Raw genomic sequence first — 12714 nt, 5'->3', positions numbered from 1 at the left:
AGGACGCATGGAGGAAAAATGAAATGCCCAGATCGACAGCCTGCCAGCCCTCAGTCAATGCTAGCAAGGCTGTTCTAGGTAATCCAGCATCGGCCCAGCCACTAGCTGACCAAGACCCAGGACAGAGCCCAGCAGGGATTACCCAAATAAACCCAGGTCAGAAGAATCACCCAAGTAACCCACACAATCATGAGAAACCACAAATAACTGATGTTTCAAGCCACTAAATTTTGGAATGGTTTGTTACAGAGCAAAATAACTAACCAATAAAGCAGAAATGGAAAAGTATCTTGCAAGTACTGGAGCTTCAGTTCCAGCCTTTGAGGTCCTTGGTCCTGAAGCTCTTACTCTACTCCCAATGTCCTTCTCAGGAGTCAATGGGCCCTCTTTTCCTACTGCTAATTTGAGCTGGATTTCTCTCATTTTCATTTAAAAAAAATTGTAAAGGTTTATTTCTTCTTTGTAATCAGGTACAATTTTAAATGAACAGAAATTCTTCGTTGCTCTAAAATTTAAGAAGTTTTACCCATGAAACATATTTGTCTGGGGTTTTACGAGAAGAAAAGATCCTTGAATAATGTTTTCATTTCTTTCTCGGTTATTTGCCTATTCTGGTTTTCAATTTCTTTTTGAGACAAAATTGACAATTTTATGAGAAAATCATCCATTTCAACCAGATTTTCAAACATGTTCTCACTTATTTACATACTTTAATGTATACATACATTTAATACTTTCATTTCTGTTTTATCAAATCTTCAACATTTAACAAGTTTAACAAGTTTATGATTTTTAATCTATCTTATCACAAAGTGAGACTTGATCAAAAGGATAAGGTCAACATTAGTGTCTACCATCTCTAATTGACCTGATTTAGTGATGGAATTAGGAGATCACAGGACCTAACAGTGGGTTTTACTCAGTAACTTGACTATAAATCATAAGAAATTATTTCTAAAGCCATAAAGTGTTGAAAAAGGTATCTTTAGACAAACCAGACAAAGAGTCCTTTTGTACTGCCTGCCCAGAGACCCTGTTCAATAAAGTTAGCTATTATTATTAGCTATTATTTCTTGGCAGGTCAGAGGGTAACCTGTATCCCTTATAGAGCAGGAGAGGCTCCTCCAGACATTAATAATGATTTTAAAACCAGGTATTGAGTGCCTTCTTTGTGCCAGACATTATTCTAGGGATGGTTCAAGCAGTCTCCTATTGAATAGTTACCAAAAAAAAAAAAACCGCTTTATTTAGGTATTATTTTCTCTATTTTAAAGACATAAACTGAGGGTCACAGAACTTAAAGTTATTTTCCCAAGGTCATTGGAGCAATACATAGCAGAGACCATTTGGAATTTGACACCAGCATTTTCTGGCTCCAAAGTTTGAGTTCTTTTCTTAGCACTGCATCACAGAATTTGAGGTTTGTGTGAAGTAATGGAAATGGAAACTGTAATCACCTCATAAGGGCATGCTCTGGGTGGAAGAATGTAGAGAATTGTCAGTACATTCTTGATTATGGACCTAGGTGGAGCAATGGAAATGGCCTTAGCTACATGTACCAAGGGCTTGCTATGCACTGTGCCAAGCGCTTTCATGTAAGGGCTTTGAAATTCATTTGTCTTTTGTTTGTGAACTCTTTCTCATTTTAAATATTTTTAAAATTATCACTATAAACCTATGTGGTTGGTACTAACATCCTATTTTACATATAAGGAGACTAGGGCATAGAGAAGTCGAACGACATGCCCAAGTTTTCCTAATGAGTATCTGGGCAGAATCAAGACTCAAATTCAGGTATGTCTGATTTCAGAGTCCATACTCTTAACCACCATTGACGTGATCAATAAACTGCCACATTAACCACTTATAGCTAGAGGTGGTTAAGTCCACTGGCGATTGAGGCAGGGAATAAATTAGGTGCATTCTTTTGATGAGGCCATCTATGACTCTGAGCCACACTATAACATGCAGATTTTTATAAAGTCCAGTGTGATGGTCTCCAGGGGTTCTGTTCTGCTATGGCCTCTTGGGTTAACAGGATCTGCAATAGATTAACCATAGATACTTCCTCTCCAATGAGGCACTGGAATCTATTTTTCTACCACTTGAATCTGGACTTGGCCAGAGACTAGCTTTTTAGGACATTAGCAAACATGATACAAAGGCTTAAAAAGTGTTGGGAGATGCTCTCTTGCTCTTCTTGGAGCCTGGAAACCACCATATGAACAAGTCAGAGCTAGCCAGTTGGATGGAGGATGATGCCACATGGACGAGAGCCAAATCACACAGGCCGACAACCTGCTCGTCGTCAGTCATGTGAAAGGGGCCATCTTAGATCATCCACCCACCAGCCAACCAACCAGCTATCCACAGACACAGACAAGAACCCCTTAAACTGTGCCCAGGGAAAGTACCTCACTTGACTCACCCTAGTCCCAACCCTCAGAGACAACTCCTCTGTTTCTTGTTCTGAGATGTCACAGGAGGCTGTGTATGTGGTCAGTATTCTGAGTGCTGAATAACCTATAATGTCCATAAGTAATGCTTATGACAGTACCAGAGACCTGGTCTCTCTAAGAGGTACAAGAGACAGATGAATTGAGGATTTCCTGCCTGGTGAGATCAAGAACAAGAAGGATGACTGTGGGTGACCAGGAGCATCATCCATGAACTCTGCCACACTTTGTGGCCCTCCAATGGCGAGTGCCCATAAATGTTGTCTATTCTCATTGTTATTGAATGGTTGGCTCAGTAGCTAGGTTCACGGGACAGTGCCTGGTTCATAAAATTGCCTCAATGTGATATGATGTGAACATAGCTGTAGGATAATGCCAACAGCACAAAGCTCTACTAATATCCATAATATTGCCTGGCTCAGACTGGGCTTGGAACAGCAGAGGGTAGAGGATGCAACCAAGCACATCCTTTATCGTGGATGGAGCCTTGTCCAAGGTCACCGCCTGTGTGTTTCTGCTTCACGAACTTGCTGCACACCAGTTCCTCCAAGGTCATGCAGAAGGAGAGGGCACCCCTCCATACCTGCATGAGTATCAGGGGCAGCTAAAGGAGAGTCTGGCCAGGTGGGCAAGCAGGTGTGGCTAGGTCTTTAATCATGCCTCCAACCATGAGCAGAAAAAGGTCAATGAACTGAGTCAAGCCAGTTCAGGTGTCTGGACCAATTCATCATCCTTGGTGCCAACTGACCTTTTTGGAACTGTATCCAGAGATAGAATCATTTCAGGTAGGCTGCCAAATCCTATGCATGCTGGCTGCAGGGAGTACTTCCTGCTCTCCTCATGCTCAAGGCAATGAATGGCTGCACTCCTTCATTCATACAGAGAGGGGTCTCATGCCACTTACAGAGCCTCCACACTTCTAGGAAGGACTGCCAGGTGGCAGACAGAGAACCTGCTCATTCTTCACCCTTTCCTGGTCTGTCTGACAAGACACCTGTCCTTGCTGGCTGCTCAGCATGTGTGCACTGTTATTCATTGTCATTGTCATCATCATCATCACATATATAGCTCTTGCCATGCACCAGACACTGTCCTAAGTGCTTTTACAGATATCTATGTATTTGATACTCATAACAATGCTATCAAGTAGAAACTATTATTTAACTCATTTTTTAGCTGAGGAATCTAAGGCATAAATGGATTTAAGTTATTTGTCCAAGGTCACACAGATCTGAGGCTAGGAATGCTGGCTCCATAATCCGTGATTTTAACCAGGACACAATACCGTTTCTCTAGCTTTCCTCAGAGAAACTACCTCTTCCCCACTCTCAATCCATGGAAGGGGCACTCACGCCCTCATCTACGGTGTAGGCACAATGTATTAGTCAGGGTTCTCCAAAAAAAAATCAATAACGTGAATTGGTGTACATAATTATGGAAGCCAAGAAGTCCTACAGTCTTCCATCTGCAAGCCAGAGAACCAAGAAAGCCAGGGGTATAGTTTAGTCCAATGTTTGAAATCTGAGCCCAAAGACCTGAGAACCATAGGTGCCAATGGAGTAGGTCCTGGTCCACGTCTGAAGGACTGAGAACCTGGAGCACCAACACCCAAAGGCGGGAAAAAATTAATGTTCCAGCTCAAAAAGAGAGAGTGAATTTACCCTTCCTCTGCCTTTTTGTTCTGAGTCCTCAACAGATTAGATGGTGCCTGCCTATGTCAATGAAGGCAATTTTTCTACTCAGTCTACTGATTCAAATGATAATTTCTTGAAAACACCCTCACAGACATGCCCAGAAATCATGTATTACCAGCTATCTGGGTACCCCCCTTAGCCCAGTCAAGGTTAACTGCATGTGCAAAATTAACCATCACAAGTCCACCCTTTCTCAACTTGGCATCCATACACACCTTCTTAAATAAAGAACCTCCAAATAAAGAATAACAAGGACATAATTCCACCTGATGTGATACAATTAGACTTTGTACAACTGAAAATGCAATAATCCCCTCCCCAGAAAAGGAGATGAAGTCCTTGAGTAATGATTCCTCTTGTCCTGGTATCCTATAACTTAAATACTAAGACATAAAAATACTGATATAAAGTCAATACATCTTACGTTACATGATAAAGAACTAAAAGAGCAAAGAAAACAAAGATATTTGCTCACCATATGTATATATACACACAAACATATCCATAACAAAATAATGCCAATAATCATGCCAATCACAGTCCTTGTTTCTGTAACTGGTCACACGGTCATAGCTGGTATTTGTAACTACTTTCTTCTATTACCTATTCTGTATTCCCTTTACCTTCAGTGGGCACCTCAGCTGGTGGTGGTTCCTTACCTGGCAGGGTGACCCAAACCTTCATTCTTAAAGGGTCTGGGCCATTCATAGTTTTGCCTGTATTGAGTTGTTGTAGTTTTTCATTGATCTTAATCACAGGTAATGGTAATACTAAGAGATGTCTTTAGGGATCTCCTGTATCCAGACACATTTTTCCTTTTCTCCATTGTAGAGTAGTGTCCAATTTCCCCTTAGTAGTCCAGATCAATCACTCCAGCCAACTTCATAACTTCCTTCTTGGCCTGTTAACTCAGAGGCATGGGAACCCCAAAGTGGCTGGGTGGCAGTGTTAACTATCAATAGAATCATTGTTCTGTCTCCTGCTGGAAGTATTCCTCCCTCTGGAACTGAGACCTCCATGCTGGGAGAGCATAAAGTCATGGGAAAAGAAAGCAAAATTTTGCTGGTGGTAAAATTACTAGGGGTAATAATGAGTGGTACCACTCCCATTCCACTTCCTTGATTCCCAGATCCATAAATTTCTGGCTATCAGAGAAAAAGCACCATATACTAGATGCTGATTCAGAGCATATATAGCCTTCTGGAGAATCTTGCCCAGGCATGCAAGGTATTGCTACCTAGCTGGCAACATAACTGACTCTTCAAAAGGCCATTCCACCATTCTATCAAGCCAGCTGCTTCAGAATGATGGGGAACATGGTAAGACCAGTGAATTCCATGAGTGTGAGTTCACTGCCCACCTCTTTGGCTTTGAAGTGATTTCTTTGATCAGACACAATGCTGTGTGGAATTTCATAACAGTGAATAAAGCATGCTCTAAGTCCATGAATGGCAGTTTCAGTAGAAGCACTGCAGGCAGGGAAGGCAAATCTGTATCCAGCATGTCTATTTCCATAAGGATAAAATGCTGCCTCTTCCATAATGGAAGGGGTCCAATGTAATCAACCTGCCGCCAGGTAGCTGGCTGATAACCCCTAGGCATGGTGCCATATCAGGAACTCAGTGTTGGTCTCTGCTGCTGGCAGATTGAGCACTCAGCGGTGGCCATAGCCAGGTCAGCCTTGATGAGTGGAAGTCTATGCTGCTGAGCCCATGCATAACCTCCATCCCTGCCACCACGGCCACTTTGTTCATGAGCCCATTGTGTGATGACAGGGTGTCTGGGGAAAGAGGCTGCCTGGTATCCAAAGAACGGGTCATTCTATCAAGTCAATTATTAAAATCCTCCTCTGCTGAGGTCACCCTTTGGTAAGCACTCACCTAGGACACAAATATTTTCATGTTTATTGCCCACTCAGAGATGTCTATCCACACACCTCATCCCCACACTTTTTTGTCACCAATTTTTTCAATCATATTCCTTCCAAGTCCCTGCCCAGCCAGTCAAATAATTGGCTACAGCCCATGAATCAGGATATAGTCACATGTATGGCCACTTCTCCTCCCAAGCAAAGTGCACAACCAGGTGCACTGCTCAAAGTTCTGCCCACCGAGAAGATTTCCCTTCACTATTGTCCCTCAGGGATGTCCTAAAGTGACTACAGTGCTGTAGCTGTCCACTTCTGGGTGGTGTCTGCACACCGTACAGAAACATCTGTAAACTGGGTCCTAGTCTGCTCTTCCTTTGTCAACTGATCATAGGGAACTAACTCCTCATGAGCCCAAAGGTGCAAGTTGGGAGAGAGAAGGCAGGGTAGCAAGAGTGGGGAGCACAGGCATCCAGGCCATTTCTTCATGTATCGTACTTGTGCCTTTAGAGCCTGCCCAGGCTTGATCACATACATACCACTTCCATTTGATGATGAAGTGCTGCTGTGCATGCCCACTTTATGGCTCGGTGGTTTAGATAAGACCCAGTTAATGAAGAGCAATTCGGGTCATACGGCAATTTAGTGGCCCATGGTCAAATCGTCAGTTTCCACGAAGGCCCGGTAGCAGGCCAAGAGCTGTCTCTTAATAGGAAACTAGCTATCTGTGGATTATGGCAGGACTATATTCCAAAATCTTAAATACTTGTGCTTCAATTCACCTATAAAGGCTTGCCAAAGGCCCCACACAGTATCCCTCTCTGCCACTAACCAACCACCATTGGATTTGCTGGGTCAGATGGCCCAAGTGGCAAAGCAGCTTGCACAGCAGTCTGGACCTGTTGCAGAGCCTTCTACTGTTCTGGGCCCTACTGAAAACCAGAAGCTCTTGGGGCCCCTTGGTAAGTAGGCCAGCATAACACACTTAAATGAGGAATGTGTTGCCTCCAAAATCCAAGTAGGCCCAGTAGGCCATCTGTCTCTTTCTCGGATGTAGAAGGGTCCAGATGCAACAACTTATCCTTCACGTTAAAAGGGGTATCTTAACATGCCACACACCACTGACCCCTAGAAATTTCACTGAGGAAGAAGGTCCCTAAATTTTAGTTGGATTTATTTCCCATCCTCTAACACACAAATGTCTTACCAATGTCTAGAGTAGTTGCTACTTCTCATTCACTAGGACAAATCAGCATAATGTCATCAATGTAAAGGACCATTGTCATAGCTTGTGGAAGGAAAAAATGATCAAGATCCCTGCAAACTAAATTATGACATACGACTGAAGAGTTGATATACCCCTGAAGTAGGACAGTGAAGGTGTATTGCTAGCCTTACCAGCTGCAATAAAACTGCTCTGGTGGGTCTTATGGACAGAGATGGAGAAAAAGGCATTTGATAAATCAATAGCTACATACTAGCTACCAGAGGATGAATTAATTTGCTCAACCAATGAAACCACATTTGATACAGCAGCTACACTTGGAGTGATCACTTGGTTAAGCTTATGATTATCCACTGACATTCTTCTAGATTCATCTGTCTTCTGCAGAAGCCAAATAAGAGAGCTGAATAAGGGATATGGTGGGAATCACTACCTCTGCATCTTTCAAGTCATTGATGATGGCACTGATCTCTGCTGTCCCTCTAAGGATGTAGTATTGCTCTTGGTTGGCTGTTTTCCTAGGCTGGGGCAGTTCTAATGGCTTCCTCTTGGCTTCACCCATCATAGTGGGCCTCACTCTACAGGTCAAAGAACCAGTATGGGGATTCTGCCAACTGCTAAGTATGTCTATTCTAATTATCCATTCTGGAACTGGGGAAATAACTGCAGGATGTGTTTGGGGACTCACTGGATCCACTGTAAGACAGACCTGAGCTAAAATTCCATTGATCACCTGACCACCATAAGCCCCTATTCTGACTGGAGGGACAAGTGACATTTTAGGTCTCCTAGAATCAGTGTCAGTTCAGAACTAGTGTTCAGTAGTCCCCAAAAGGTCTCATCATTTCCTTTTCTCTAGTGCACAGTTATCCTGATAAAAAGCAGTAGGTCCCTTTGGGCAAGGCTGGGAGAAAGATTAACAGGATAAACTTTTAGCAGTATAATCGCTTTCTCAAGGAAATTTTACCTCCCTTTCATTCAAAGGGTTCTGGGTCTATAAACTGGCTCAAGTCTGGGAATGGACTGAGGGGCTATGATTCTCTATTTTTATGATTCAAGTTAGACTTCTGTTCACTTCACCTAGAATTTTTCTGCTATACAGATCAAGTAAGAATTTAGTAGGCTTCCCACCTATTTCACTTCTAGCAACACCATGATTAGGCAGTGCCATAGGTCTGCATGAGTCAGGCTATTCCGATTGTTGTTGTAACTCTGCGATCCATTAAGGTAACCGCACCTACCTTGCCTTTAACAGTTGAGTGCCACCAAATGGCCCCTGATACTCCAGGACCCAATTATTCCCATTGCATTTAAGTTTTCCAATTAAGTGGCTGTGGTTCCCATAGTAAGGTTTGGTCTATAGAGAAGAGGGATCACAGAGCTCTTAAAGGACGCTGGGGCTCCCCTCACAAATATATTTCTCAAAGTATTGACAGAGACATACCTTTCTTAAAGGTATGTCTGACCTTCCCAGCATGGGTGAGCGGGTATTAAATGACAAATCCACTCTGGCATTCTAATCTCCCTAAGCTTTTGAATCCTTTCCTCTACATTAAACCAGGGGAGGTCAGGCATCTCCAACTCACTCATGATAGGCCATCTTTTAATCCATGTTTCAGCCAACCAGCTAAACTGTTAGAGCCCTTCCTAACTCCTTAAGCTGGAACATTACATTCAGAATCTCTGCTTAGTGAACTTCTATCAATAAATTCAGCCTGATTCAACTTCATGTTACTTCCACCATTATCCTACCCCCTTAATATCATTCCCATGCATATTCCCTATGGTTCTGCTTGTATAAATTAGAAAACTCAAATAGTTCTTTTGGGGTATAGCATACCTCCCCGTGGGTCACACAGTGCATCTCACGTTTAGGAGCCTGCTAGGACTTGAAGGGGTGGTGGGATTCGGTGCTGACAAGAATCAGCATTGCCTGGCATGGCAACTGCCTCAGGGAAAGCCATTACTGTTTCTTAGGGCAATGCAGGGTTAGTTCCCTTAGACAAGATGGAAAGGCCAATGCCACCCTGAGTGGGGATGACACTTTTGCTTGAGGTAAGGAGGCCACTTCCACTGGTAAAAAAAAGACTTGTCAGAATTTAGGGGCTCAATGTCCCCAGCTTCATTAGGGTCTTCATCAGAGTCTTCCCACCTTATGGGATCCCATTCTTTTCTGATCAATGCCCTTGCCCTTGCTTTTAGAGCAGACACCCTGTGTGGTGGGGAGTCCAATTTGCATTGTAATTCAGCCAATTGCAGGATGAGGTTGTGCATTTAATTTTCAGAAATTTCAGCCCTGCAACTACAGGCTAGAAGGCTCTCCTTCAGGGCACACCTAGAAGCTCTTAGATCATTTATGAAACTCTTTGAGCTGGGAATTCAAATCCCTGAGCTCATCTTTTTCTTTCTCCACTTTGTCCAGAGACATTAGGAGCAAGTCATTATATGCCTTAGTTTTCCAAAAGTGTTTGGGTATCATATATCGAATCACTTGGCTCCTTGCTTCTTATAAATGGTTGATTAGGAGTATCCAATGCAGATGATTTGTGTATCTCTATAAACAGATCATGCCACGGACTATCCAGGCTCTCTTTACTACTAGAAATAGGGTAATTAGCATTCTTAAATCTAATCAGATTTGGCAGCCAATTACCAAATCCCCGAAACCAATTCAGAAAACCCATCCTTAAAATTTTGTTCCTCTATACACTGTTAGTACCAAAATTTTCTGTCCTAGTCCCTTCTGGCTGCTGTAACAAAATACCAAAACCTGAGTGATTTTTAAATGATAAACTTATTCCTCACAGTTCTGGAGGCTAGAAAGTACAAGATCAAGGCACTGGAAGATTCGGTCTCCAGTGAGAGCTCACTTTCTCATACACAACTGTCTTCTCATTGCAACCTCACATGGTAGAAGGGGTGACGGATATCTCTGGGGTCTTTTTTATAGGGGCACTATCTCATTTATGAGGGCTCTTCCCCCATGAACTGATCACCTCCCAAGGGGCCCACCTTCTAACACCATACCTTGGGTGTTAGGATTTCAGGATATAAGTTTGGAGAAACAAAACATTCACACCACAGCAGCATATACCCAGGCCTGGCCAATCAGCATAACCCATTCTTCTGGCAATATGTGATTCATGGTCTAATGAGACTTTAGCTCTTGTTACTGCACTGCAGCACTGATAAGATATAAGATTAAAGGTGTTGCAGCCACCATGCTCGCATAGGAGACAAGCCTTCCTGAAAATAAAATCAACACAGACAAAGGCTAAGCCAAGAAGGGGAGAAACAGGTTCTTGAGGACATTATTTAGAACTTTGATTCACTGTGCTTGAAGCCAAGTCAACCCTTAGGCCTTTTCTATTTCAAGGACCCAAAATTTTCCTTTTCATATAAGTCAGTTTGAGCTGAGTTTCTGTCTTAGGCAACAGAAACATTCAGCAGATAGATAGAATATGGGAAACACCATCTTCTTGGCTGCAAGTTGAGTATCAAGTTTCAGTCTGCATGAACACTCAGAGCTGCATACTGAGTAGGGCAGTCTCCCCAAACTCCCCTGCCTATTTTGCTAGGGAGGAGAGAAGAAATTGCACTACAAGGGCTAGGGCATAGGATCTGAGAGAACATGACAAACAGTCTCAAACTTTGTCTTTGCAAACAGATTTCCAAGGACTTTGGTTGTTCCATGTTTCTTGGAGTTCTTAACCTCAATTACCACATTTTCCAAGCAAAGAATATCCAACATATGCTCCAGCATCTTTGTGTTGCTATGGCAACAGATATGCCCTCCCCACAAACTCCCACCCCAGTTTGCAGCAAATTGGCAGATGACCATTTGCAGAAGACCAGCAGGAGCTAAAGAAATCCAATGACAGAAGATAGTCACTACTCACTTTGGGCAAGCTGTCAGCTGTCAAGTCTAAGTGGGTAACAGAACCAGTAATGGAGACAAAGCCAATGGGAGAAATTTCAAGAAGGGGATTCAAAGCAGAAACAAAGTAAGAGAACTAGGGGTGATGGCTGCATTGGGGTATGCTGAATGCAGTTCATTATTGGGCAATGAAAGACTGTGCATGGTGGAAAGCCTTCTCAGCTAGGACAGTTTCAGCTGCATGTAAAAGAATGCCCCCAGGGTCAGGTACAGTGACTCATGCCTGTAATTCTAGCACTTTGGGAGGTCAAGGTAGGAGGAGGGCTTCAGCCCAGGAATTCGAGACCAGCCTGGGCAACATAGGGAAAACCTATCTTTACAAGCAAATAAAAAATTAGCCAGGTGTGGTGGCATGCACTTGTAGGCCCAGCTACGTGGGCGGCTGAGGTGGGGGGGTTGCTAGAGCCAGGGAGGTTAAGCTGCAGTGAGTGAGACATGATCATGCCACCACACTCTGGCCTGGGCAACAGAGCAAGATTCTGTCTCAAAAGAGAAAAAAACAAAAATAAAAGAGAAGGCTTCAAAGAGTAAGACTTTGCTTAAAAAAAAAAAGAAAAAAAAAAAAAAAGCTTCTTTTTTTTCTTTTTTTTCGAGACAGAGTCTCACTCTGTCGCCCAGGCTGGAGTGCAGTGGTGCGATCTCCGCTTACTGCAAGCTCTGCCTCCCAGGTTCACGCCATTCTCCTGCCTCAGCCTCCCAAGGAGCTAGGACTACAGGCGCCCACCACCATGCCTGGCTAATTTTTTGTATTTTTAGTAGAGACGGGGTTTCACCATGTTAGCCAGGATGGTTTCGATCTCCTGACCTTGTGATCTGCCCGCCTCAGCCTCCCAAAGTGCTGGGATTACAGGCGTGAGCCACCGTGCCTGGCCAAAAAAAAAGCTTCTTCTCCCATCTATCCAGCTTGGGGATAAAAGGACTGTGAGTGGTATCAACAGCTCATCAGCATCATCATGGACCCACGGTTCTTTTAAGTTTTCCACTCTGCCATGCTCAGGATGTCGGCAATGTGTCCCTCATTGACCCAAAAGGGCTGCCACAACTCCAAGCATTATATCCTTGTACAAAAATGCCCAAGAGGACAAGGGAAGGGATGTCTCTCTCTTATCAGAAAGGAAAAATCTTTCCTAGACTCTTTCCCAGGTCTTCCCCTCAGTTCCCATTAGCAGGATTGGGTCACATCCTCATTCAGCAGCTACAAGAGAGCCGGGAAAAGCAAGTATTAGGCATTTTTAGCTTCCATCATGAGAGGTAGCCTCTGCCAGAAGGATGAAGGCTGTGAATGGCTGCTGGGTAGGCCAATCAACAATGTACCCTAAACTTTAAACACATTTGTACCAAAACTTTTGCCATATCCTTATATCACCCATACTGTCATTCACTTAATATTGTCCTCAAATCAGTTTATCTTTTGTTTAACCTAAAAATCTTTACTTAGGTAGGAAATTCTATATCCTTATCATAAATGCAAAACCACTACTAGATACATTTTTCCCAATCCACATTAAAATACATTTATAATGATTAAAACAAAA

The 12714-nt window shown here is 43.1% G+C and overlaps 1 protein-coding gene across 3 annotated transcripts in view, besides 1 other annotated feature; it reads right to left on the bottom strand.

The window, feature by feature from the left end:
* The window catches only part of PRKCB (protein kinase C beta), a 384629-nt gene that overhangs the window by 218384 nt on the left and 153531 nt on the right, over window positions 1–12714 (bottom strand). The gene's annotated exons all lie outside the window — the stretch shown is intronic.
* Window positions 2153–2222: an enhancer, noted in NCBI's record as "active region_10595". NCBI's record gives its function as "activates an Ori minimal core promoter by ATAC-STARR-seq in GM12878 lymphoblastoid cells {active_cell/tissue: GM12878}" and the evidence as "EXISTENCE:reporter gene assay evidence [ECO:0000049][PMID:35858748]".

This window comes from Homo sapiens, chromosome 16 (assembly GCF_000001405.40).
Source record: "Homo sapiens chromosome 16, GRCh38.p14 Primary Assembly".
NCBI classification, from domain to species: Eukaryota; Metazoa; Chordata; class Mammalia; order Primates; family Hominidae; genus Homo; species Homo sapiens.
This window is presented reverse-complemented; position numbering and strand designations above follow the sequence as displayed.